General features: G+C 44.2%; 1 protein-coding gene across 12 annotated transcripts in view, besides 10 other annotated features; it reads right to left on the bottom strand.

The window, feature by feature from the left end:
* Positions 1-27489, bottom strand: part of NCK2 (NCK adaptor protein 2) — a 149820-nt gene that overhangs the window by 67242 nt on the left and 55089 nt on the right. For 10 of the 12 annotated variants that reach the window (XM_017005105.2, XM_017005103.2, NM_003581.5 and 7 more), the window contains one exon: positions 10418-10601. The gene's annotated coding sequence lies outside the window, so the exon portion shown is untranslated. Of the gene's footprint in view, positions 1-10417; positions 10602-17873; positions 18743-26192; positions 26880-27489 lie in introns of those variants that run through there. The other 2 variants (XM_047446017.1, XM_047446018.1) reach the window with 2 other exon arrangements.
* Positions 4692-4741: an enhancer, noted in NCBI's record as "active region_16332". NCBI's record gives its function as "activates an Ori minimal core promoter by ATAC-STARR-seq in GM12878 lymphoblastoid cells {active_cell/tissue: GM12878}" and the evidence as "EXISTENCE:reporter gene assay evidence [ECO:0000049][PMID:35858748]".
* Positions 14029-14529: an enhancer, noted in NCBI's record as "H3K4me1 hESC enhancer chr2:106428959-106429459 (GRCh37/hg19 assembly coordinates)". NCBI's record gives its function as "activates a minimal SCP1, AML or CMV promoter by ChIP-STARR-seq in naive H9 embryonic stem cells {active_cell/tissue: H9 hESC(naive)}" and the evidence as "EXISTENCE:reporter gene assay evidence [ECO:0000049][PMID:30033119]".
* Positions 14530-15030: an enhancer, noted in NCBI's record as "H3K4me1 hESC enhancer chr2:106428458-106428958 (GRCh37/hg19 assembly coordinates)". NCBI's record gives its function as "activates a minimal SCP1, AML or CMV promoter by ChIP-STARR-seq in naive H9 embryonic stem cells {active_cell/tissue: H9 hESC(naive)}" and the evidence as "EXISTENCE:reporter gene assay evidence [ECO:0000049][PMID:30033119]".
* Positions 17832-17941: an enhancer, noted in NCBI's record as "active region_16331". NCBI's record gives its function as "activates an Ori minimal core promoter by ATAC-STARR-seq in GM12878 lymphoblastoid cells {active_cell/tissue: GM12878}" and the evidence as "EXISTENCE:reporter gene assay evidence [ECO:0000049][PMID:35858748]".
* Positions 19783-19872: an enhancer, noted in NCBI's record as "active region_16330". NCBI's record gives its function as "activates an Ori minimal core promoter by ATAC-STARR-seq in GM12878 lymphoblastoid cells {active_cell/tissue: GM12878}" and the evidence as "EXISTENCE:reporter gene assay evidence [ECO:0000049][PMID:35858748]".
* Positions 23623-23672: an enhancer, noted in NCBI's record as "active region_16329". NCBI's record gives its function as "activates an Ori minimal core promoter by ATAC-STARR-seq in GM12878 lymphoblastoid cells {active_cell/tissue: GM12878}" and the evidence as "EXISTENCE:reporter gene assay evidence [ECO:0000049][PMID:35858748]".
* Positions 24026-24315: an enhancer, noted in NCBI's record as "active region_16328". NCBI's record gives its function as "activates an Ori minimal core promoter by ATAC-STARR-seq in GM12878 lymphoblastoid cells {active_cell/tissue: GM12878}" and the evidence as "EXISTENCE:reporter gene assay evidence [ECO:0000049][PMID:35858748]".
* Positions 25941-26110: an enhancer, noted in NCBI's record as "active region_16327". NCBI's record gives its function as "activates an Ori minimal core promoter by ATAC-STARR-seq in GM12878 lymphoblastoid cells {active_cell/tissue: GM12878}" and the evidence as "EXISTENCE:reporter gene assay evidence [ECO:0000049][PMID:35858748]".
* Positions 26301-26360: a silencer, noted in NCBI's record as "silent region_11844". NCBI's record gives its function as "represses an Ori minimal core promoter by ATAC-STARR-seq in GM12878 lymphoblastoid cells {active_cell/tissue: GM12878}" and the evidence as "EXISTENCE:reporter gene assay evidence [ECO:0000049][PMID:35858748]".
* Positions 26381-26470: a silencer, noted in NCBI's record as "silent region_11843". NCBI's record gives its function as "represses an Ori minimal core promoter by ATAC-STARR-seq in GM12878 lymphoblastoid cells {active_cell/tissue: GM12878}" and the evidence as "EXISTENCE:reporter gene assay evidence [ECO:0000049][PMID:35858748]".

Raw genomic sequence — 27489 nt, 5'->3', positions numbered from 1 at the left:
AAGACTCCATCTCAAAAAAAAATAAAAAATAAAAAATAAAAAAGAATGCTATGTCTTCTTGATGAACACTCTTTTATGTCCCTGGTAACTCTCTACTTTTAAAAGTTCTTTATCTGATATTAATATAACAATTTCTGCTTTCTTTTGATTAGTATTTGCATGGTCTATCTTTTTCCATCCTTTTATTTTCAACATATATATACACACACATACATATATATATATACACATATATAAAATGTCTCTAAAATGTGCCAGGATAAGGCAGAGGAGCTAGGGAAGCTGCTCAGAGGAAAGGATACTTACTTGGCCAGAACTTGGAATTGAGAGAGAAGGATACTGTGAGGATAACTCAGTAATGACCCAAATCCAGGGGGCCTAGAACCCAAATCCAGAGCCCTTTACCATGCAATCCATTGGGAATTTGGCTCTAATTTGGGAATAAGAAATTCTTGCTTTATTAGTTACATTTTTGCATTAAAAAACATAACCAATCAGGTAATCTATATATAAGTCTCTTTAAGTTTTCCATTCCTGAGATAGTCACAATCACAGGCCTCCCAACTAACATATCATCCACACTACAAGCAAACTACCTGAGCAGAGAGAATTGGTCCTCGAAGGGTGGTGGGGTTAGGCTTTGTGTCCCCACCCAAATCTTATCTTGAATTGAATTGTAATCCCTATAATCCCCATGTGTTAATGGACAGACCAGTGGAGGTAATTGAGTCATGGGGGCGGTTTCCCCCATGCTGTCTTGGTGATACTGAGTTCTCAGGAGATCTGATGGTTTTATAAGCCGCTCTTCCCGCTTTGCTCAGAACTTCTTCTTGCCACCCTGTGAAGAAGGTGCCTTGCTTCCCCTTCATCTTCTGCCATGATTAAGTTTCCTGAGGCCTCCCAGTTATGCTGAACTGTGAGTAAATTAAATCTCTTTCCTGTATAAATAACCCAGTCTCGCATAGTTCTTTATTGCAGTAGGAAAACAGACTAATACACAGTATCAGCCTTCTAAGGGATGTAGACCATCCTAGCAATCTGCTCTAGAGTTATAAAGGATGTAATGCAATCACTTTGGTTAATCAGAATCTCCATCAAGATCTAATGGAGCCAGGAACTCCAAACCTGACGGATCACCAGGACACTATGACTGCATAAGGAACTCCAGTCCTGAGGACTAGAGGGTCTGGTTATGTAACAAAACTCCTTACAAAGGTTTTTGGGTTATACTGTAACTGACAGAGCAGAGTGTATATTTACTGCCTTCTGTAAAGTTACAAACATTTCCCATCCCTCTGTGCCTTGCTGGTGACCCAGATAATAGCCCTGCTGGGCAAAAATAAGGGCTCCGTAAAAAATCTCTAATAAAACAAGAGAAATTATCATTCTCTGCTATGTGATAACATGGACATTGCTATGTGATTTCTCTGCTGACCCTTTTTCAGGAACCCACCATCCCCCAAGCCAGAATCTCCAAAGTGGAAAACACCAGGTGTGGGAAGAAATTATTAGCGTTCCCATATCTGCTATGTTCCAAAGCGCTGCAGTGCCCAGTGCTGCTTCCTACTTCTCCATTATATTTTGTTAAATTTCTGAGCATAAGACAAGTCTCCACTGAGGGTCAGCTCGCTGTAAGGATCAAAGATCAGAACTAAACACTAGTAACGGAATGGGATTTTTGAATTTATGATGAATTATCTCAGGTGTGAATACATGAAAACTCGCAAATGAAAGCCCTTAGAGTAGAAGGCCCCTTTAGGGAAGATCAGCGTTAACAGCACAGATGCCCAGGTCCTGTCTGCCCACTCGAGATTAGTGGGGAGTGGACCCTGAGCATCCTAAGTCACCCCCAAGCATCCCAGATGATCCCCATTACATTACAGCTGGTAGGCATGGACTCACAGAGCTCCAAAGCCTGGAGGGAGAGGAGGAGGCAGGAGCCAGGCCATGTCTACCTCCACTCCGTCCCCAAGCACCTCGAGTGCCCACTCATCTCCCTCCATACCTGGCCCCACTCAGCCAACAAATGTGGGCAGCATCACTTGCCTGCAGCTTGGGGGAATCCCTGATGCTCTTTCCTGGAATTGAGACTCAGGTGGGAGATGGGCTCCTGATCTTACTGCAGTGGTGGAGAGGGTGACACTGGTGTCCCACAAATGCTGAGCATGTTTTCCCACTGAATTCTGTGGGGCATGGCAACCAGGTCTGTGTTACTGTCCTGCCTGTGCAGGACTGTCCTTAGAATTCCAAGTTCACACACCCAACTTCATCTACCCTCTCCCTCCATGTCACTGCCAAAGGAACCAAGGCCGGAAGTTAAAACCCAGCCATGAAAGCACAACACCCACACATGAGCACGCCCCAGTGATTCCTCCAGAGACCTCTGTTCTAAGCACACGCCGCCGAGACGTGGTACTTAACGACTGGGAAAATGACCAATGTATTACAAAAACGTTACTAAATGAGCTCTCAGGTTGGAAGATACGGTTACATTTAGCTTCTCCCACAAGAAAGGCCTGTACCAGACCCAGACTCCAGGCAGGGAAGACAGTCCTGTCTCTGGCTCCTGGGATCCCTGCCTTTCCCAAGTACTTCTGACGTTGGTCTTTGTGAACACAACAAAATCTTCAACATAACCTCTGGGTAAGATCATAAGTGGCATATTCCGGAAGGCACTAAATAAAACAAGTCTGACTGAGGAGTGACTGGGCTCTCACTGTCAGATCTGCTGCATTTCCCACTCATTCCCTGTGAGCACCGTCAGGGGCCCAAGTGGAAAGCAGTACTCTATGGAAACGTGACATTTACGGACGGGGCATTCTGCTATGTGGTCAATAAAGGGAGGGGGCACTCACACATGTGAAATAAGGTAACAATCACAAGCAAAACCCAAAATGGAATGTTGGCAAAAAAGATAAACAATTTAGAAAAACTACTAAAAACGTCAACTCTAGAGCCTCTCCCTGTCCCTGGCCACATCCCTGTAAGGGAGAGCCTACCTGAGGACACTCAAGAGGGACGTCACCACTGCAGACTCCTGACTTGGAGTTCACGCCGGCCAGGGACTGCTCCGGACCATGGGTTGTTCACACTGTGACCTGGGTAGACCTTCACACGGGAAGGTCACGGAACAAGGCGTTTGATCACGAAACAGCCAGAGCAGATTCATAATTAGGATCATCCTTACTGCTTGCAGGCAGCAATCAAGCTCAAATCTCACCAATTAACTTGTCAGTGTGACTGTTGGTCAGGTGTGACTCTGAGAAGCTGAGAAGGCATATTTTACTTTCCAGGGAGATACAAGGCCTGCCTCCATGGCCACGGACCTTACAGGAAGGCCTGGGTACCTTCTGCCCCAACAAGCACTAAGGGTTATTCGTTTCCATCCAAAACTGGCATCTTGTTAATATACTCTTTGTTAACATGGTCCCAGAATTCATTCCCCATAAACTGTGACCTCTTATGATCTGATTTATTCATCATGTTTTATAACCATTTTGACATCCTGGAGCCAGGAACATTTCTAAAGAAACCATTTCAACGTTAGTTATAATAAAAGTCAACCGGAAAATTGATTCTGATAGGCAGAAATCTCAAACTCAAAATGCTTTTGGTGTGTCCAGTGAGGCACCTGCAGCACGGGAATGGGGAGCACAAGGGCACTGGGACACACTCCCCTCCCACACCCTCCACCAGACACGCCCAACTTGAATGACACTTCTGCAGTTCCACGTGTTCCCTTCAGTTCTGTACATCCCAGTGGTAATCCCAGAAAGTATTCTCCTACTGGGGCTTGTTTGTAATTACCTGTTCAAGGTCCAGTTTACTAAAAGCCCTACAACACCCCCTCCATTGTGACACACACACACACACACACACACACACACACACACACACAGCATGAGAGGACTTTTTGTTTTTCTGGAGGAAGTCAAGAAAAATTTCTCTCTGCTTTTCCTAGTTTGAGAACCTCAACTGCAGCAATGCGCTCATTTCAAGCTCTGTGTGGCCTGTTTATTTAATGCTGTTCTCTTACATACACATCCGCCACACGGCCGGCCCAGGGCCTCTTAAGGACAAGGACAGAGTATCTGGAATCCAACATTCAGGTGTGAGACACAGGTCACCATCCAACGCTGGGCCGTACTAGGCAAGGAAAGTAACCTCTCTGGGCTCATTTTCTGCTATACAATTCAGGGGAGGACTATCCATATCACCTGGCATTAAAGAGAATTCACGAAAATTCCTTTGTAAATTCTAAGGTACAATTCAGAGAATCACTGAAAAATGAATGGAATGTTATGTATTCAGTTTCTATCTAAGGAAAAGAAGGTCGAGGGGTACAGAATTGGCTTTTTTGTTTTTGTTTCTTCAGCTTTCTAGGAAGCCACACTGCTAGGGTGTATCAGCTATGACAGAAAAGAAAAAATGCTTGGCATAACCTTGATCACCACCACAACTAAGAGAAAATAATTATGTTATTGACTATGCAAGAACGTTAAATCACAATTTTATGATGTTTCGCCCTGAACAGGGGCGCTGTGGGAAGCGTCAGGGACCTTAGAGATGGCCTCAGCACACAGGAAGTGGCTGTTAAATACAAAGTCCCCTGGCCTGTACAGAGAACTTCTCTTTTGGCAGGTCTGATGTTAAGCTGGGGATCCCCAACACAAGGCGACTCTGAGCACCATCCTGGGCCTCCATGGGTGGAGCTGGAAGCCACAGGAGCTGTTAAGCTGATCCTGGTGCTTCAGGAGCAGCAGAGGCCCTCGGGGGATTCAGGTTCCCAGCTGGTGCCCCCTTCTCAAACCTCCCAAAGTCTTCCTTCACACACCCTTACGTTTCCAAAGAACTCTCCAAACTGCACTTAGTTGCAGGAGATTTTTCTAGGGGAGAAAAAAATAAATCTCACGAAATTCCTGGTACAGTAAGAAAGAAAGGCTTTTTTGGGTCAGGAAATGGGAGCTCCCAGCCTGCTCTGCCACCTAGGAGCCCCGGCCAAGTCATTTAATCTCCCAGAGCCTCACATTTCAGTTTAAGGTAAGCACTTGGAGAATGGGTCGTTACCATGTCACCACCATCATGTGTCAGAGACAGCAGCCCGGGAAGCAGAAGGAACGTGGGCTGGTAAGCAACAGACCTTCTGCTTCCCGGGCTGCTGTTAATAGATGGGGACACAAAGCCACAGGAGAGGTTAAGGGGACTCTCCAGAGTCACACAGTTGAGCATGCACAGCTGTGGACAGTCTCCTTAACCTCTCCTGAGGCTTTGTGTCCCCATCTATTAAATGGGGGCAATAACATCTGCATTTGCGACTAGAGATAATATACAAGCAGTGACAAGCCCTGTGCCGGGCACCTGCCAACGATGACCCCATAGATTACAGCTGCTTCCACTGACTGCACCACCGGGGCACTGTGGAATCAATGTGGCAATGTTTTCCCAGCAGCTGTCAATACTTACTGGGCAATTATTTAACCAATTACCACAGATTTATCCGCAGCATTAAAGGCTGTGGCCATCTCTTTATATTCGGTACACTGTACAGAAGAAACAATCAGTCCAAACTGCAGAGACTGTTCCCCCAGATCACCCAGGGGTCCAGAGTGCGGCAGAAGGAGGCTGAGATGGGCCCATTTATTTGGGCGGAAACTCCACAAGTTACTTCCAGGTATCATGAGACCTCCAGAGCTACACCCTCAACAGAAGCTTTAGCCCTAAAATCTTAATGACTGAGCACTGGGCTTTGCGTGTAAAAAATCTTTCTAAATAACCTGTTGGGGGCAAAGTCAGCTACCAGCAATCTCCAAAATACCAAACAACCAGGATATGATAAAAGTGAGTAGTAAATTCCAGATGACTTTTCCAAGTGTACACACCCTAGGAAAAATTGTTCTGAAATAAATTGAGGATAATATGAAGTAGTAAACTTTAGTAGTTAAATAAATATTACTGGATAGCGTTTTTATGGATGTAAGAGTGACAGGCTCAATGTTTCATCTTCTCATGCTCACTGCTCAGTTAAACACAGCTGCTGCTGCTTCTATCACAAAATGGAAAAGATGTGTGTAGGCTCACTGCTGACATTTACACGCTGGACATGCACATCACCAACTGACTCGGTTTGTGAAATCCCGTCCTGTTTACTCAAACTTGAGTTGTGTCATCTAAGCCACTGTCCTTCCTATCCCACTACACCATCCTTCTGTCCATTAGGACATGTCTGTCATGAAAAAGCCTCCAAAAGCTTTTCAAAAGTCAAACGAATCTGCAGCATAGCAGACAAGGCCCTTTGCATCTTCCGTCCCTAGTAATGGCCAGCCTCCAACAATCAATTACAGTCACTTTTCAAGTACACACGGGAAGAATTAAGTGCAGATTATGCGTTTGCCAAAATGACAACTCTGGTGGCCTTCTGGCTCTTCCTATGGTCTCCGCTCCCCCAAAGAAGGCAGGGTCAGAGCCGCAGGGTCCCAAGACTTTGTTCCTTAACTTCAATGGGGAGACCAGAAAACAGGGTAGGGAAATGCACCACGTGGAAATGGGCTGAGACGTTACTCAAGCCCTCAGACACCGCCATCCTCCTCAAGCTGCTCTCAGCCCAGCCCCAGGCACGCAAACCTTGAGTGTCCAATAACTGGGAAATGCATCCAAGGCTGACATCCCGCTTACTGTTCTACCAGGCCAGCATTTATTTCACTTCTTTCTGACATGCCGAAGTGTATGGCTGACCGAGCTGTTGCTTTCCCTGTTGGCACTTCAAGGACCACCGACCAAATGGCAAATGCCTGGTCCCCAAGCCAGTATTGTCTGAATGACCTGCAGTCTCCAGGAACCATGGCCCAGCTGGTCCAATCAGCCTGCCCTGTTCCAAGGAAACACATTATACCTCTGTACACGTCTCCTCATTCTTTAAAACTTATTCCCAACGTAACATCTCCTGGCTTTTCCATACTGTCCCCTAAAGGGTCAGTTGATCCCTGCCTCAAGTATTAGGGACTGGCTGTAAGAACCTCCACTACAGCAGTTAGCACAGTCCCAAACTGTCAGGGTCCCATCCTGAAAGGGCATGGGGAAAGGTGGCTGGGACTATATTTTATCTATTTTTTTTTTAACTGCTACAACAGTCACTGCAAGAAAAATAGCCCAAAATACAGGTGGGGTGTTCACAATAGATGTTTATTATATGAATGGCTACATCTCACGATTTTCCAAATGAACATTTTTCTAAACCACAAAAGTAAATTTTAATAGGTGAATCAAGGTTTTGTGTGGAACTTATAAACTTATGAAATAAAAGTAATCCTTTAAAATTACATGGGTAGATATTTTTGTAAGCCAGCCAGCTCTCATGGTCTCCATGTACCGTCTTGTCTACGTGGCACCCGTGTGTTGGGAGCTCCTGCAGACTGAGCTGCTGGGTGAGCATGCCACACTCCCCTGCCTCACCACCTTCTCAACCAGCACCAACAACAGCTTCAGGTCTGCTAATGTCACTGACGATCAAGACCTTTCTAAAGAAGTAGTGACAGACTCTGATGCTAATAAATTATTAATGAGTTCTGATGATCCAATCAGAAGATCTGTCATTTCTAGCTTATACTCCATTCCCTTGAAATCTGACAAGTGGATTGATACATGACTGCATTTGCAAATGACTGTTTTAAAAAGTTCTACCCCAATGACTTTTTTTTTTTTTTTTTTAAAGAAAACGGAGTTACCATGGGTTTGAGAAGTTTTCTTATGTAAGATAAACCTCCTAGGTTTGGAACAGGAACACCCCGATGGTGTCTGTCTTGCACAAGGTCTGGAAGAGAGACCTGGGAATGCCCTATGAATGCATGAGGGGACCCAAAGCTAGAAGAGCCAACAATGGCTGGGGTGAAGTCAGGTATGCAGTGTGAGTGCCAACCCCCGACTGCCGACCAGGAGCTAGCTCTGGAAATCACAACACACAACACCCTAAATCAACGGGACAATATGGCATTTTCTCCAAAAGATAACATAAAGCGTAACACGACGAGAACACTAAGACACTTAATCCTATCCTTATTGCATATTAATCTTATGCTGTTCTAAATACCACACATCAAAGGGGCATAACTGAAATTGAAAAGGTTCCAAGAGATTTTTCTTTTAAGGTGGTCGAAGAGAAAGAACATATTCACAAGATGTGTTTGTAGTAGTAGCAGACCAAGTAAGAGGAAATTCTAACTTTTAATATTAAAGGAGAAAATTTCCAGAAACCACCACACCAAAAGATTCCATAGTCCAACATGATAGTTTCAAGATTACTTTAAAACAATCTGCAAATAATAGAAGCAAATTAAAGTTTTTTTATACAAATGTCCACTGTAATATTCTCATTTGCTCTTCATACAACCAGAAGACATATCACCTAAAAGTTGGACACCAAAACTAATTTAGGTTATGCTTTGATTAAAATTTGGTTTGCTTTCATACTTGATTTAACAATCTTTTCTATTTTGTTCTGTTAAATATACCATGTTGGAAATATATATTTCTTATAAGCTGATAGTAAGATGTACAGGAAAAATCTTACAGTATAAGGAATAAAATCTTTTTATATATATATATTTTTATTACACTTTTAAGTTCTAGGGTACATGTGCAAAACGTGCAGGTTTGTTATATATGTATACATGTGCCATGTTGGTGTGCTGCACCCGTTAACTCGTCATTTACATTAGGTATATCTCCTAATGCTATCCCTCCCCCCTCCCCCCACCCCAAAACAGGCCCCAGTGTGTGGTGTTCCCCTTCCTGTGTCCAAGTGTTCTCATTGTTCAATTCCCACCTATGAGTTAGAACATGCAGTGTTTGGTTTTTTGTCCTTGCGATAGTTTGCTGAGAATGATGGTTTCCAGCTTCATCCATGTCCCTACAAAGGACATGAACTCATCACTTTTTATGGCTGCATAGTATTTCATGGTGTATATGTGCCACATTTTCTTAATCAGTCCATCATTGTTGGACATTTGGGTTGGTTCCAAGTCTTTGCTATTATGAGTAGTGCTGCAATAAACATACGTGTGCATGTGTCTTTATAGCAGCATGATTTATATTCCTTTGGGTATATACCCAGTAATGGGATGGCTGGGTCAAATGGTATTTCTAGTTCTAGATCCCTGAGGAATCGCCACACTGTCTTCCACAATGGTTGAACTAGTTTACAGTCCCACCAACAGTGCAAAAGTGTTCCTATTTCTCCACATCCTCTCCAGCACCTGTTGTTTCCTGACTTTTTAATGATCACCATTCTAACTGGTGTGAGATGGTATCTCATTGTGGTTTTGATTTGCATTTCTCTGATGGCCAGTGATGATGAGCATTTTTTCATGTGCCTTTTGGCTGCATAAATGTCTTCTTTTGAGCAGTGTCTGTTCATATCCTTTGCCCACTTGTTGATGGGGTTGTTTTTTTTCTTGTAAATTTTTTTGAGCAAATTAAAAGTTTTTAAGGAAAGCTAGTGTTATTCTTGCAGTTCATTCTGAGACAAAGCTCTGGAGGTGAAAATGTGTCTTCTCATAAAGCACTTCTTACTGCCCAGCCAGAAAGAGAACACCGGATTAACTGGACTACAAACAGCAATTCATATTTTAAGTTAAATGTCTTAAGATGTTAGGGCTAAGAAATATTTTTGTTGCACAGTGACATGTTTTTGTCTGGTGCCTGTGGTGATAGCACCACTGGGTCCCAGAATCCACATGTTGCATCACAGTTATGATTTTATTGTAACATACACAAGTAGGTTTTTCATATGAACAGGTAAAACCTTCCTGAGAATCCTTCATCTGTCTGCATCTCATTTGATGTAGGTTTTTTTTTTTTTTTGAGACCAAGTCTTGCCGTGTTGCCCAGGCTGGAGTGCAGTGGTGTGACCTTGGCTCACTGCAACCTCCGCCTCCCAGGTTCAAGTAATTCTCCTGCCTCAGCCTCCCGAATAGCTGAGACTACATGTGCACGCCACCATGCCCAGCTATCCTTTGACACAGATTTATCTTCTCAGCATCAAAGCTGGAATCCAACTTTTCCTAGACTGAAAGCACCAGAAAAGTGGTTATTTATCCTTATACTCCCTGTCCCATACAGAATACAGGGACCAGGATTCGTTATGGATTCAAGAGTCAGTAATATCTGAGTGTGGAGGTACCTGTACCATCTTACAGGTTGTAGGTGTCTACCATCCTGCTTCCTGGCTACATACTCAGAACCATCACACACTAAAGCAGGAACAGAGATAATCTAATTTTCTCCCTCATTGAAAGCTTAAATTTAATGTGATTCAACAAATCAAGGCTACACTGACTGATATTTTACTAAACTTACTGTCCAAATTAAGCATTTGAAGCAAAAAGCTGCAACTTCTGTTTTAAGCAGAAAACTGCAGACTTACCTTTGGCACACAGTTGAGAGGTGACTGGCAAAACGCAGAACTCTTCAAAACGATGATGTTTTCAGCTAATTACACCTCTGAAGTTACAAAGCTGCAGGGATTCTCCAAATCCTCAAATCCAACTCAAATCTCAGCAGAGAATTATAATCTGGGACGTCGCTTGTATACAAAGAACACATGAAATCTAAAAAGAAAGAAGCATATATTAGGTCTGCTTGCTTCTTTGATTTTAAGTAACCACTTTTAAAAATAACTGGTTATTTATTTGCCTAAAACTAATGGGTTTTTTTGTTATTTATTTATTTTTTTGAGACAGGGTCTCCTCTGTCACCCAGGCTGGAGTGTGGTTGTACGATCTTACTTCACGGCAACTTGCACCTCCTGAGCTCAAGTGATCCTCCTGCCTAAGTCTCCCCATTAGCTGGGACCACAGGCATGCCACCACCCCTGGCTAATTTTATGTATTTTGAAACCAATGTTTTAAATATATCCCAGATTAAAGCTGCTCTGTGCCTAAAGACCTCCATCAACACACATGTACTCCCTCTTCCCACCTTTCATTCCCTGGGCAAGCTCCGACACTCGGGTTGGGGAGGGCCAACCACACACCCGGTGAACAGCAGGTGGAAGGAGGTGATGGGGTGTGGGGGAACAGCCAGCCCATAATCAAGGGACCTGAGCTCCCAGTCTCTTCCAGACTTCCTCCTCCCAATGAGCCCCACCTTTAAAAGCCTCCCAGAAATAAAAGGGAGTCTGCCCATTGGAAAGGTGGCCAGTCTGAGAGTCTAATGACGGAGAAGGGTTACAAAGGGCATGGATATTGTTTAGAGACTCGTTCCTCTCTTGGAGGTCTGTTGCACCAGCCATTTGTTGAGAAGCCACCAACCGGACCCATAGCCTTGGGCTAAAAAGCACCCCTAGTTTCAAGACTTCTGAGACGAACACTCCAAAACTAGAAGGAAGTTAAGATGAGAGGCACCTGACAAAGGTGACCAGCGCCCTCCTGGTTGTGGAGAGCTGGCAGCTGCGTTATGTTCACTGCACTTGGTAAGTATTTTCAGTCCTTGACTAACGTTTTCGAGGGGACCCTGGAGCACTCTGTGGACTTCAAGTGAGTTCACTGACATTTTTAATTACATTTCAAACCCAATGGGGATCTGTCTTGACAGTTCACTCACAGAAGATCTATTAATTCATCCCTAGCATGATTATGATCCAAAATGTTAAATACCCCATAGAAAAATCGAATTCTATTTTAGTCAAAGATAAGAAGATAATTCAAATAGGGCTATCATAAAAATGTTATAAGGCAAGTTCATAAATTTTGATTTAAAAATTAATTCCTTTTTATGTATTCTCTAGCACTGTTTTAAAGGCCGCATCATTTTAATACAGATATAATTTAAGGCAAGGAAAAGGTGATGGCCAAACACAGTGGGAATACATCTTTGGGCAAGAAGTTCAAACGTATACTAGGCAGATTGCCCTTCTCTCTGTTAAGTGTTTATAATAAAATGACAGGTCCTCTCGAGATGGAAGTATTGGAATCTGAACTCAGTTCTTGACCAAGAGTTCTTGTTTCTCATGCTGACACCACTGAACATCAGCAAAGGGCAATGTGCTGGGTACCATGCCCCAAACACCACCTCTGTATGTGTCATTTTCAGGGGCTATTATAAACGTTAAGTTGTGTTGTTAAGATTTTAACTGGGAAGTGAATTTGCCCAGAGTCTGCCTTCCACAGGCAAATGCAAGGAATTGTTTTATGCAGTTGTTTGGGCTGTCCAAATACAGGCCTCCCCCCTGTGTGCCCTGTGTCTCATGAGTAATATGATTTAATCCTTCTGATACACTGCCAGGATGGATTCTAATGCCCAAATGTACAGAGGAGTTCACTTTCTCAGTGACACTAAAGGTTTTTCCCAACCGACTGGAGAGTGAGGAATCACTTAGGCCTTGGACTCCGGATGAGTGGGCTTTGCACATCTCTAATCTCTTCTGCATGCGAACAGAGGAGAGACTCCTTATGCCAACAGCAAACCAAAAGCCTGAGCAGCTTCTCTACCAGACCCCGCAAAAGAACAATGAGCTGGATTTAGAACTTGAGTCCTTTGATACTAGGCACAGTGGGCAAGTCAGAACACGGCCTCTCCAAGCACAATCAGTAAAGGAAAAGCCAGACAGAACGGAGCAGGACTTGAACTAATGCAGCAGCTCCAACAAAAGTGAGGCTACTGAAAATCCATTGAAAGGTGCCAGTGGCCATCTGGGATTCAAGTGTAAAACGTGAAGGTTGCATGCGATGTTTTCCTTGAGAAAAGCATTCCACTGACAAACTGTCAATGTGTTAAGTGTACACCCTAAGTAGAATAAAACATGGTGGTCAACATCTCTCTCTCTGGGTTTAAATGAAGACTGCCCAAGTTTAACATGGGGCTCTTAGCTTATTCAAAACCTGTGTTAAGGAAGAGCATTTCAAAGCAGGTCTTAATTATAATCAGTGATCGAAATCCATCAGGAAAGTATACACTTTTGTGCAAAAAACAGTATCAGCCTGAAAGATAAACACCTATACGGTCACTTGGACTGTAGAAGGCCCTCACCAAAGGATTCAAGGATTTTCTACAGCCAGCTTCAGGACAGGAATATACAGAAGGAGTGTGTGCTTTTCTCTAAAAGTACTTCACTAGCACTACGTGCATCTCCCTTTAGAAATAAAGGAGGGAGGGCTGGAAGGCAATTAACACTGATACCGTACGTATCTCTTCATTTTAATGTGGATCCTTAATACTACAAAATTTTACCACTGCAAAATCCAAGGGATTATCTGAATTCTCTGTAACCTTAAAATTTGCTTTTTTTCCACTAAAGCCACAACCCAGGGTTTTCCAGTGTTTTCAGCAGCACTTAGCTGCAGTGTTGGGCGAGTGTGCTGAGCACTGCCAGGCCACACTACTTGTCCCAGGCGCAGGGCCAGGCAGTGAGATGCCCCCCTGCAAGCAGTCGTGGCCGATTCTGCATCCCCAATGCCTGTGTGGTGCTGGCGCAGTGTCTTCTGCTGCACCTGGGCTGGTTTCCTCCAACTATCAGCATCTGAGAGGGAAGTCCAGTGATGAGGTCCCTGACTAAGGCAACTCCAGAGGAGCAGTTCAGGGTTAAGAAGGGAGTTATGAGCCTTGTTCTGATGACAGCCCAAGGCTGTGAGCTTTGTGGACATAATACCACTGGGTGCTGTCACTCAACCTGTTTTTGAGGTGGCCTATTTGTCCAGAAAACTGAAGTCACCAAGAGACTAAAGTCAGCCTTCAGGAGGCTCAGGGAATCCCTCCTCTCCCACTGTCCAAATGATAGAAACGGTGACAGGCTGGGAGAAGAACATGTTCTGATTCCAGTGAGACACTCGCCGTGGCTTCACCTTAGCATCAGCTGCAAGAATCGTCACAGCAACCCTGGGAGATACATCTTATCATTCAGCCCAGGAACCAAATGACCAGATGTCTCACAACCAGAATTTGAATGCACACTTGTCTGATTTTAAAGCCAGAGTGCTCCTTCTCCTGACAAAGATCACCACGAAAGGGCTAGAACCTTGACAGTCGCATTCTGCAAATCGCATCTGCTGATGCCATCTGTCTGGGGTATCTGCCACCCTGGGTGGCCGGCTCCAACCTCTCAAATCAGCTAGGAACCATGTCAGGCTACATCAAGAAGCAAGCCCATGAATGTACACACACCAAGTTTGTTTTCAACGTTACTGCTTCTCTTAGATGTTAGCACAGGAGGGAAAAAAAAAAAAAAGCCTTGTTGAATAGTGTCACCTGGCTTCAGTAATGAGCAGATGTTGGACTCGGGTGTGTATCATAACCAAATCTAATCTGTGTTACACATGGAGAGAACCACTCCAGATCCCTAGTCTGTAGCCAGAGCTAAGGCAATTGTCCTTTTCCTTTTATTTAAAAAGAAAAACAAAAAAGCATGGATTAGCATAGGCCTCAGAGCTCTCAAATGCCTTGTCTTACCCTTCCCTCCTCCCTCCCTGACCAAGGAGGCCCAGCAGAGGCCTGCAAGTGGATCTCCCGTTCAGAGTACGGAGGCGGCAGTGCCAGCCCAACACAGCACGGGGTCAGCGCTGTCTGAGGGAATTCTGGCAGAGCTAGCTATATTTCATTCCTAGTGAACCACTTGGAAGAGAACCTTATTCAAGTGGGAAAAGGCTGGTTTCAGATACTGAACAAAGCTACACAAGTTTCTTTGAGTGGTTTGGCCAAAGTTCAACCCATGTGGACTGATACTGAGCAGCTTAGATGTGTTTATCAATCCGAAACTCAAAGGTGTCCAAGGAGATGACCTCAGCTGTCTCTTAATCATCCAGTGCACAGTGGTTCCCAGGCAGGGTTTAGAAACAGCTGAAGCAGCTTCAAAAAGCCTCACTGCAATTAGATTTTTCACTCAAGATAAAGCTGTCCTGAAAAGTAAAAGTATCAAGTTTTTCTGCACTAGGCTGAAATTATATCAATTCCATATATTAATGCTGGTTAGTAGGTTAATTAGAAGCTGATTAATGAAAACACGAGGGAAAAAACAGAACTAATTTCTAATTCTCTAGAAAGCCAAAGAGTGGCCAAGGCAGGTGTTTGCAGGAGAAAAGTGACTGATTAGAGTTTAAGGTCTGTCAGTTCTAGGTTCTGGAATAATGATTTCTGCCTTCAAATACTCCAGAACTGAGAAAAGAAGGAAATAGCAAGCAGTAGGTCAATCGATGGGCGAAACCCCTATTAACTGTACTAGGGGAGGCACCAGGTTCAAGAGGCTGAAGAGATCCAGAGCCAGCCAGGGTTTTATTAGGGGCTTACAGAGAAGGGAGAGAGTCCAGTGGCAGCGGGCTGGACAGGAGACCCGCACCCGCCTGCAAGCATCATGCAATTCATGTAGCATTTTCACTGAACACACTCCCTGACAAAGGACCTCCACCTGGCATCCTTCATGCAACCCAAAACTCAGGGCCTCAATCACACCTGTTCCACGAGACAAGCTGCAGGGACTCAGATGCTCCTTAAAGACAAGGACTGAATCTCCAGGCTGGCAACTTCTGGATTCCCTAGCTGGGAACACACATTCAGGTACGTCTGCCACACAAGGTCATTCTAAGGGTCTGCTTAAGTTATTGCTGGCAGGTGTGTTTACCCTACATCATCCATATATAATGAGAAGCAAATTACAGCCAGAAAAGGAAGCAACAAGGCCATGGGTCAGGATGACAGGGCTGTAGGCCTAACTTGGCCACCAAATGCCTCTCTGTTCCCTCATCCACCACCCCACTCAACTCCAATCCTATATCTTTGGGACATATGGGAATGGACATTATCAAAAATTGATGATGTGGTGCCAAAAATGTATCAAAGCTTACTAAAATAATAGAAGAAAGCCATAATGCATTTTTTTTTTTTTTTTGCACTCTGTCACCAGGCTGGAGTGCAGTGGTGCAATCTCGGCTCACTGCAACCTCTGCCTCCTAGGTTCAAGTGATTCTCTTACCTCAGCCTCCCGAGTAGCTGGGACTACAGGCACACCCCACCACACCCAGCTACTTTTTTGTATTTTTAGTAGAGACGGGGTTTCACCATGTTGGCCAGGATGGTCTCAATCTCTTGACCTCATGATCCGCCCACCTGGGCCTCCCAAAGTGCTGAGATTACAGGTGTGAGCCACTGCACCTGGCCCATAGCCGGGCAAATATTAATATAAATTTAAGATTTACAGTCTGCTGCCTAAAAATTCTAACATATAGGAATTCGATTAGTGACAAATTTTGTAAATTTGTGACAAGGTTTGTAAAGGGTTTTCTTGATATATTTAATGCTAGCCTCTTAAATCCAGCAGTACTCCATTCTCTAAAAGGTCTGCCCAGGTGTTTCTCTAAGGTTTTTCCTCTAGTCCAAACTGCTACTTGTCTTTGTAATCAACATAAAAACCTTGCTATACATCTCAGTGCCATAACTAGACAATTTAATTACATATTGCCTTTTTAACAGGTTCACCAGCATTTTATTAAGCATGCACAGGATTCAGCCATTGTCTAGGTAGTGACAACACCAGTAAAAAGCATGCTGACAAAAATAAACTGTAAACACTAAAATGCATACTGAATAAAAACTGTGCAAACCCCCCTTTTTCTGAAGGAAGGAAAGAGGGAGGGAAGAGTGAGGAGTCAGGAAAGCAAATCCTGTTTTTCTCTCTCTCCCTCCCTCTACTGCCAGCTTGCTTGTGTGCTTGCTCGCTCGCTCTCTCTCTCACACACACACACTTTTGTTTTTTTCAAATAGCATCTTAAGAAGCGGGCCAGAAGGTGAGACACAACTATTATTAACACTTTTAGGGAGTAGAATCGGGGGTGAGAAGGGTTAATTTCTATAACATCTGAACTTTTATAATATGTTTTACTTTGGTAATTAAGCACAGCTTTAGATAAAATTCCACACTCCTTTCCCTGTTTCTATCACTGCATCCTCTGCTAAGCTGAGGCCCAGGAATGAAGAGTGGGGATGTGTGTGCTCTTTCTCCCTCCCTCTCAGCCCTGGCCCTGCCACTGAATGAGACCTCAGCACCCACTCTCCTTTCAGGCCCATTCTGACATCACAGCCCTCCACTACTAACAGAGTCCCGCTCGCTCCCTTCCCTGCCTGCCCTCTCCCCCTCAGTGTTGGGAACTGCCTTCCACCACTCCCTCTTCTTCTAGCAGTGCTCAGTGGGTGAGGTAAGATCTCTCATTCAAGAAGCTCTTCAAAAGCCCCTCCTCCAGGAAGACCTCCTGGATGGCTCCATGGACAGTTAAACGCTCTTCCCTCCAAGTTCCCTTAGCATCTTAGACAGTACTCATTATTCTGTGAATAAGTCATAAGTGCTTATATAGTACTGATTACACCATGAAGTGCATCCCATCTGCTATGGGCTAAATTGTGTCCTTGCCCTACCTCCAAAAAAATTCATATGTTGAAGTCTCAACACCCAGTACTTCATAATGTGACAGTGAAAAGGTCTTTAAAGAGGTGGTTAAAATGAATCAGGGACCCTAATCCAATAGGACTGCTGGCCTTTTAAGAGAGGAAGAGATACCAGGAGGGTGTGCACGTTGAAAAGACCTTATGAAGACACAGCAAGAAGGCATCTGTCTGCAAGCGCTGGAGAAAGGCCCCAGAAGAAACCAACCCTGCTGAGCCCTTGATCTTGGACTTCCAGCCTTCAGAACTGTGAGGGCATAAATTGCTGTGTAAGCACCTCAGTCTGTGGTACTTTCCCATGGCAGCCTGGGACTTTTGTGAGACTCAACCATACATATGTGTCACGACATATGACACACGCAACAGGAACTTGAAAAACCTTGTGTGAGCAAATGCAAGGATGAGTGAATTGAAAGAACTCGAGGTCAAAACCACCAGGTGACCCACACTTTGCCTACCAAGTATCTCCTCTTGCACACCAGAAAGAACTGATTCTTCCATTTTCAACACCTATTCATTCTTCAAAACCCAGTTTAAGCACTACAGCTGGCTTCCTGGGCCAAGCTCCTGCATCACATTGTAACATAGCCATGCCATTTTGCATTTGAATTGTGATGTTTCACTATATGTAAAAATACTTTCTCATCCAATCTCAACAATTGTACATGCAGTCACACCCCAGCCCTCACAAGATGGCTAAAGCAAATCACAAGCAAAAATTAGTTTGCCCACAAACACTTCAGTGCTTATCACCAACAGATCAGCACAACTTCAGTATCACACCCCACATCATTACCAATTCCTTAATATAAAGCTCATATCTCATTAGTGTCCCGATTTTCCTGTCTCATAAGTGACTTTCTGTAGCTGATTTACTTGAATCAGGATCCAAGTCATGTCCACAAATTACAATTTTTCTCTTAGGCCACTTTAAGTCGATTTTATTTTAATGACAATGCACTGAAGACGCTGGGTGATCCACCCTGCAGTCACGTGGCACTCCATCCCTCTGGTGTTTTTCACGTGCTCCCCAGCCCTGGCATTTGTAGTAAACTGGTGGTTACTCCTGGGGGCTCCTTCGATGAAAGATCCTTTCTCAAGAGCAGGGATCCAGCACTGACTATGTGCTTGGCACTGAGAACCACCCGATTAATCCGTGATTTAGTAAATGAAACAAGTTAGAGGTGCTAATGTATCAGGGAGTCCAGCCCTTGTCCTTAGCTCTTTCCAGGCTGTCATTTTCAAATGGGATTTTCTACAGGGTCCATGGCCCTTTTGAAGACTTTCCAGAAGAAAGGAAAAGCCTCATTCTACTTTTCCAACTGGAATAAGGTATATGAAAATTTAAGGCTGAAAGTTACAAAATCATCTTAAGCATTGAATGATGTAATGTTCTTTTCTTAAGAAACAAAGAAAGAGGCCAGGCACAGTGGCTCACGCCTGTAATCCCAGCACTTTGGGAGGCCAAGGTGGGTGGATCATGAGGTCAGATCAAGACCATCCTGGCCAACATGGTGAAACCCTGTCTCTACCAAAAATACAAAAACTAGCTGGGCATAGCGGTACACACCTGTAGTCCCGGCTACTCAAGAGGCTAAGGCAGGAGAATGGCTTGAACCCAGGAGGCGGAGGCTAAAGTGAGCTGAGATCGCACACTGCACTCCAGCCTGGCAACAGAGGGAGACTTCATCAGAGACAGAGAGAGACAGAAAGAGAGAGAGATAGAGAGAAGGGAGGGAGGGAGAGATAGAGAGAAGGGAGGGAGGGAGGGAGGGAGAGATAGAAGGGAGGGAGGGAGGGAGAGATAGAAGGGAGGGAGGGAGAGAGAGAAGGGAGGGAGGGAGGGAGAGAAGGGAGGGAGGGAGGGAAGGAAGGAAGGAAGGAAAGAAGGAAGGAAGGAAGGAAGGAAAAAAGAAAAGAGAAAAAAAAAAGGAGAGAGGTTGAAAAAAACAACTACCTTGTGGGTCAGATCAGCCTCCGCAGGGGCTCAAGGGCTGCCCAGCGTGACTCCAACTCCAAGAGGCTGGTGTCACTGATGGTCACCCTCACACCACCCTAGGAAGGAGGCATTTTATGTCCCCAAGTGACCCTATTGAGAAACATAATGCCATTTTTACACTTCTCAAATTACATAGATATCAGCTGTATGCTACTAAATAATTTTTTCCCTAGGAAGGAAAATTTGCACTTTTTATTTCTACAAAGAACAACTTGTATTGTCATATATAAATCGGAGGGCTTTCCCATAGCCCAGAATTAATCAAATCAGAAACCTCAAAACCTTTATTTCCCCTGCCCTTCGAGGAGAGCACCTGGGTGTGATTTTAGAACCACCTATGAATCTTAGAGAGAACATGATGTCTGCGAGGGCGGCCCTTCCCACGCAGGTGCGTCACAGGACAGTAACACCCAGAGTGAGCTGTTCCGGTCAGGGCCCAGGTTCTAATGAACTCAGGATTAGGCAGCTGGGTCCTCCAGGGAGCAGGCTACAAGGGCTGATACAAACTTTAGTACTCCAGGGATTCCAAGTGTTACTCAGACTCTACCTTCATTCCACATTACATCACGGGTCATTTGAAAAGTCACAATAGGACTCTTCAGCATGAGGGTGTGGGATAGGATGTCTTACAGCAATTAGACAAAGGGATGGGCTAAGAAAGACTAAGATCACCCCATGACCACGGGCATCTGAGAAGTACCTGCAAGTGTAGAGAACAAAGAAACTCTGGAGAAAAAGGTTCAGAAAGATTCTGTAGGATGGTTGGTTGGGTTTTTTTTTAATTTTGTAAATTACTGGTAACTGCGAAGCCCCCTATGGAATGGGATTTGCTTCTAAGAAACTGAAAATACCGCACTGCATGTTATCCTCTTCCTCTGATAAGCACTGAATCAACGTGATTTTTTTCCCTCATTAAGTAGCAGATATTCACATAGATATTACAGTGTCCCATAAATGAATTCCATAAAATTCCATCAAATGTGGAATAAAAAGGAAATTTAAAATTTTCCATTTAAAAGTGGCTAATAAAGATATGGAAACAATCTAAGTGTCCACTGATGAATGAAGAGAATATATGTGGCCGGGAGTGGTGGCTCACGCCTGTAATCCCAGCACTTTGGGAGGCCAACGCGGGGTGGATCACGAGGTCAAGAGATCGAGACCATCCTGGGTAACACGGTGAAACCCCGTCTCTACTAAAAATACAAAAAGTTAGCCGGACGTGGTGGTGGGTGCCTGTAGTCCCAGCTACTCGGGAGGCTGAGGCAGGAGAATGGCGTGAACCCGGGAGGCGGAGCTTGCAGTGAGCAGAGATCGTGCCACTGCACTGCAGACTGGGCGACAGAGTGAGACTCTGTCTCAAAAAAAAAAAAAAAAAGAAAGAAAATGTGATATGTGTGATATGTACACATACACAAGCACACACACACATACATATACAAGGCTGAGCATCCCTAATCTAAAAATACAAAATACAAATTGCTCCAAAATCTGATAATTTTTGAGCACTAACATGATGCTGCAAGTAAAAAATTCGACACCTAACTTCATGGGAAGGGCCACAGTCAAAACGCAGGCACACAACACAGTTTACCCAGCACCCCCAAGAAAAAAAATAAAATTACCTGCAGGCTATGTATATAAGGTGTACGTGAAACATAAATGAATTACATGTTTGGACTTGGCTCCATCCCCAAAACCTCTCGTTATGTTTATGCAAATATTCCAAAATCTGGAAAAATCCAAACCCTGAAACATTTCTGGTTCCAGGTATTCGGGTTAAGGAATTCTTACCCTATATATATACACACACAAGAATATTATTCAATCCTAAAAAGGGAAATCCTGCCATTTGCAATAACGCAGATGAACTGGGAGGACATCATGCTAACTGAAGTAAGCCAGGTACAGAAAGACATATACTGAATGATCTCATTTATATGTGGAATCTAAAGAAGTCAAATTCATGGAAATAGAGAGTAGAACGGTAGTTAACAGGGGCTGGAAGGTAGGGAAAATGGGGGGATTTTGGTGGATGGGTACAAAATTTTGGTTATGAGTAAGTTCGGGAAATTTAATTTAAAATGTTTAATTTTAAAAATAAATGAAATTTTAAAAGGCTAATAGTTATAAAAATTTAACTTATAGAAAACAAATTTATTATTATTCCAATTAAATAGAAATTTTACTATCACTGTGTTTTTAAAGTATGTTTAGCTTTAAGAATACTTAGTTCTTAAAGTACAATTAGTTTTTAAATATTCCTAAAATGGTCAAGGTATGTTCATCCACATTCTCCTCAAACGCTGGACCCTTTCATAACTCTTTGCCCTCGCGTCTGCTATTTCCTCCCCGTACTGGGAACATCTTTGCACCTCAGCTTCCCAATGCCATCGTGCAATCAAATCCAACTCACCATTCAGGAAGGAACTCAAACGTGCTCTCTTCTAGGAGACCGGCCTCCGTGCCCATAAAAAGCACTATTTTATAATATCAACTGTCATTTACAAAACTGTCCAGATAGGAAGAGCCTCTGGGAAGGGACTGCAACTTTTTCATGTCCTGATACCCATATGGGGAGGCCCATGGCAGGCTCTGGATAAAATGACTCTTCTCCCCCATTTATGGTTCAATAAACTTCCACTTCCTTAGTTCCATCTATAAGATCAGCTGTGACTATCCAGTACCCTGCAGCAGTTAGTGCCATGTTAGGCCCTGATTGAATCCTTGTCCCCCAGTTTGCAATCTAAGACACACTGAATCCCTAACACCACTGTGCCTCTAGGCCAGGCCATGAATATCAACGTGGAGCCTTAAATACAGATAATAACATACCTATGCCAAAACCAAACAATGGTTCTTACATATCATATTTCTTAATTTCAAGGCTATAAGTTTAGTTTTCTTGAGTATTTCATTCAATAAATAAATTTGCAAGCAGTCAATGAAGAGGGACAGAATCAAAGAGTAATTCTAAATTCTAAAGCTCAGGAGCATATATATGACTTCCTATGGCAGCTGCCCAATTAATGCCATCCATAAAGCCATTCAAATACTGTGTCTGGGCTGAAATCCAATTAAGCCATTTCTGTCTGAATATCCCCAAAGAGCCTCCTGCTGAGCTCAAAGTGGAAATCATCATAAATGCCAGATTAGCTGTGTAAGCATTTCCAAAGCCAAAACCAGACAAGAGCATGAAAACCTACATGCCTAGCCTTTTAACTGGGCACAAAGACAGAAAAGACATTCAGTGACCATCTGGCAAAAAGTCAAACCCATTTTCTCGTCCACCAGGTCTTCTCAGATAATCCTCATCCAGTGCAAACATCAAAGAAAAGCGCTGGTCCGTTCATTTACACACATTTTGAAATGATCAACTTCAGCTTCACAATGAAATTTTGTGCAGTGAGGAAACAGGCCCAGAAAACATCTCAAGCTTTCTCTAGACTCAAAATTTTACTCAACCAACCCCTTACAGAGTACACCCTTGAAATTAGTAAATCCTGAGAGTCGCCACTGCCTCTATGTATATAATTTGCCCCGTAAAAAATGGGCAAGCAAAGCCAAAACCTAACTGAGAGGGAGAGGGATGGCAGAGATGCACTCAACGTGTTAATTTACTCCTCTGTCTTGCAATCCATGACTCAGATTCACAACTCACAAGGCACATGGTATCCTCAGCTTTCATGCAACAGCCAGAACCAGGACTGTTTTAACCACATATTCCAGAAACAGAAAGACTCTGGGCTGACTATTCATTCCAAACGGACCCTACCTGAGACCTACTTAATTAGAACATCTGCAGTTTATAAAAGCTTCTAGGTGGTTATGAGGCCCAGCCCCATTCAGAATCACTACTCTAGAGAAAATAAGAGAAACTGAAGAAGAGCCAATTCCAGAAAGCCTTATTCTCTAAACCCTCATAACTGGACCACAAGTGTGAAAGACGACTAACCTGGGTGTGAAGCTGGCAATGTCTCTGCACATGATGCAGGGGCATGAGGACTTGCTTTGAAACTGGATGCTAATGCCAGTTCCGCACTTTCCTAGCTGTAGAAATTGAAGGCTGCTAATTAACCTCAGAAACTAGGTTTCCTTGGAGACAATAGCAGTCACCTTGTTGGTAGAATGAAATCAGTCACACGTATTCAATGAAAATGTATTGCACAACTGCTGTGTGCAAATGCTGTACATACATAAGGCACAGCACAGAAGTGGCCCTTCTTAAGGAGCTCAGCCTAATTAGAGTTCAAAGTCAAATAGGAGACTACATAGCAGTGCCTATTTATGATATCTGCTGCAAGAAAACGTGCCTATAAAAAACAGCAGCTAAACTTTTCTAGGTAACTTCTAAAACACATGTGTGCTATCTAAAATATCTGCCTTAGAATTTAAAAATTTGATGGAGACAAGCAGAATAAATGTTTATATTAACAACTATCTTAGATAAAAACTAATTTGTGATACAGTAGAAAATAAGCCTAACCTTGCTTTCCCAAGACTGACCTTCAAAGCTAGGGGAACTATAATCTCTTCTCTAAGGAAAACCATCAATTTGAAAAATGACAACAAGGTTTGCTAAACCTCACCATCCCAATATTGCTCTCTTCTAGAAAGACTTCAAGTTAATTCATCCAACAAGTATTTACTGAACCCCTGCTAGCACTGTGCTTGGTGCTATACACACAACAGACATCACTGACACCACCTCACCCCCGAGAAAGCAGCAGATGAAACAGACAACTGGGTGGCAAGCGACAAAAAAGGGGAATTCCAGATGATCAGTCATCATCCATGGCCCATGTATGTGACACATGGGGGCAAACAAGGATGTTGCTACCGTTTGAATATCTGACTCCTTCTCATGTTGAAATCTGATCCCCAGTGTTGGAGGTGGGGCTTTAAGGGAGGTGTCTGCATCGCGAGGGCGGATCCCTCATGCATGGTGCCTTCCTCGTGGTGATGAGTGGGTTCTCACTCTATTTAGTTCCTGTAAGAAGTGATGGTTAAAAAGAGCCTGGCACATCCCTCCTCTCTCTCTTGCTTCCGTGTTCTCGCCATGGGATCTCTACCCATCGGCCCCCTTCACCTTCTGCCATGAGTGGAAAGCAGCTTGAGGTCCTCACCAGAAGTAGATGCTGGCACCATGCTTCCTGTACCTCCTGCAGAACCGTGAACCAAATAAACCCTTTTCTTTATAAATGACCCAGCCTCAAGTATTCCTTTACAGTAATGCAAACAGACTAAGACAGATGTCCATGGAAAATGGAAATGCAAATGCTAAAGGCATGTTAAGGATGCCTCTGCAGACAGCACCATCCCTGCACAGTGGGCCCAGCCTCCCACACCACATTTGAGCAAGTGATTTCTGAGTACAGGTAGAGGGTGTGTGCACATCTTCCCGTTCCACTTCATCACATCAGTTTCCGTCCATTGTTCAGCTTCTCAAGAGTCCTAAATCCTGGCTCACTCCCAGATGGTCCCCATTGCTCTAACCATGCATCGTCTGCAAATCTGATAAGCAGGTTTCCAGCTCTTCATCCAAGCTGCTGTACAAATCATGGTCAAAGGCAGTAGGCAGTTGAGGCCTTCCTGGAGGAGCACTGAACCAGCAGGTGACAGGGCATGGCTGTCCAATCGCTACCAATCTACAAAACAGTTCTCCATGCAGGGAGATGGGCCTGCAGCCTGAGCTGGTGAATGCACACTGGCTTTGGAATGCAATGCCAGCTCCATCACTTTCTCTCAGCAAGACGACTAACTCTAGAGCCAGATACTCTAAAAAGCGCCCTGTAAAGTCCCATGTGCTTTTGGTGCACACTCACAGAAAATGTCACTTTGTTCCCCCGAGTGGACACGAAAATGACTCTCATTATTAAAGGGACTGAGCCGAGGGCCACTCTGTCCCCAAACACCCAGCCCTTGAGATGAGCCTGCCAAAGAACAATCCCGAGGCTGCTCTCACAGGGTAGGTAAGAAGCCAAGCAGGAGGCAGCAAGACAATGCGGATGCAGGTCAGACCATCCCTCCCCCTAACTCCAGCTTTCCTTGTGCCATGGGCCCCTCTCCTCACTCGACTGCTACAGCCAGCACGTGACAAAGGTCTCTGTCATGCTTTGTCCCTCAGTCTTTCTTCTTATCTGTTAACGTTGTGCACTGGTTTTGTGTAAATAGACTGTGAGGAGAAAAAAAAAAAAAGAAAAAAGCACATCCCTCAACCACGTGCTGGTGCACACGATGACATGGGGAAGGGGGGAGGCAAGCCGAGTGAGCTGGTCAACAGACGTAAGGGCTGGGGCTGGGGGATCCCTACAATGACGTCCAACAAGGGGGCAAATGATCACAGTCCTGTCCCCAAGGAGATGACAGCCCGGCAGGCCTCTAGCCAGTGAGCAGGGTTGGAGGGGAGGTCCCAGGGTAAGGAGGCATATTAACACCACAGATTTATGGGACACTCACCTAAGAGGGTCCAACCTCACCAGACACCCTGCAGACATCAAGCCACACTGCATCAAAGAGAACAAATGCTGACGGGCTCAGCACGCCCAGCTTTCACCTCCATTCAGTAACCTGTTTAAGTATCTCTTCCCTGCTTCTGCTTTTTTCTGCGTTTAGAAAATTAGAACATTTGCCTGTCTCCAATCTTCTGACACTTCTCCTCTCCTTCAAGACCCCTCAAAGAATACTAAAGGGGCTTCTGCCAACCACCTGGACAGGCATGTAATCCCATGGAACCTCGAGCTTGGATTGAAAAGCAGCAAGGTGCTCTCCCACTCACTTTTTCCCATGTTGAGCTTCAATTCCTTCTTCACGACATTTGTTCTGAAGCCTCTACTTTCAAGATTCTTCTTTTTAACAAACAAAACAAAACACAGACGTTCATGACAGTTGATCAACTGTGCTCCTGCAACTGGTCCCATCAGAAACCAAGCACCAAACCCACTCTCTCGGTCCATTTATCTCAAACAGACCAAAAACAGGATGAATGTTTCTTGTTCTTAGGCCTTAGTAGAACTTTGAGACTAACCCCATGTCAGCTGGGTTTCCGCCTTCTATGGGCTAATCACACACACATATGCCACTCTTACGTAATCCTGAATTGTATTCTATTTTCCTTGGCCTCCAGCACTCAAGTTTAAAGCTCAGGAACTGTGCACCTCAGAATTTCATGCTCTAAAGAGGAAAGGAAACAGATGAATGCTAATGGCAATCATTTACCAACCCTATCCTGGGTACCACAGACCAGACTAGGCCCTCTTTATGCACTATCTCAATCAATCTTTACAACAAGACAACACCTCATTACCCCGTTCACAGCAGAGAATTAGGTGGCGTGCACAGGGAGGACAGAGAACAAGGTGTGCAGTTGGAACCGGAGCCTGGGGACTCAGGATCCCTTCCTTGGTGTTCACCCTGGGCATGTGGCCCCCGTGCCGGAGACCAGGGAGAGCCAGACTATACGGTGCAGCCAGGCTACATGGCTGCACTGACCCTCTCTTCTCACAAAGTAAGGGCTCAGGAGGAAAACTGTCATGGTCTCTGTCAAATGCTGGTGCAAAGACACATCTAATGATACCACATGAACAAAGATGGTGTTTCCAAATGACAGATTTCCTTATTACCAGAAGCTACGCTGACCAAAGGAAACTCTTGGGAGGGATTCTTACAAACTTTGCAAAATGTAGTGTTTGAGTGTTTCTCTCACTGTTAAAAAAAAAAGTTATGTCATTAATGATTTTCAATCAAATTCCCTGATCCTGTCTCCATAGCCAAGAACATAGTGGCAAGATGGCGGAGGGGAAGGCCAGGTAAGGACCAATGGCTTCTTGAAATGGATCTATCTTAACCACTTTTAGGCTTGAGGTAGAGGGAAGCATCCCTCCATGCCAAAACAACCCAGTGACCTCTGGGCTGCTATTGTACCATTTATGTAAACATGGTAATTAGCTTTTTATAGGCTTTCATATAGTGGTATTCCGTTTTGTTTTTCTGCTTTAAAATAGGAAGTTTTCAAATAACTCATCAGCTCGTGTTTGGTGTGGCAGATAGACAGACTAACGAAACACTAGGAAGCA

Source organism: Homo sapiens, chromosome 2, assembly GCF_000001405.40.
Source record: "Homo sapiens chromosome 2, GRCh38.p14 Primary Assembly".
Taxonomy (NCBI): Eukaryota; Metazoa; Chordata; class Mammalia; order Primates; family Hominidae; genus Homo; species Homo sapiens.
The sequence above is the reverse complement of the archived record's forward strand: the minus strand, read 5'-3'. Positions and strand labels throughout refer to the sequence as shown.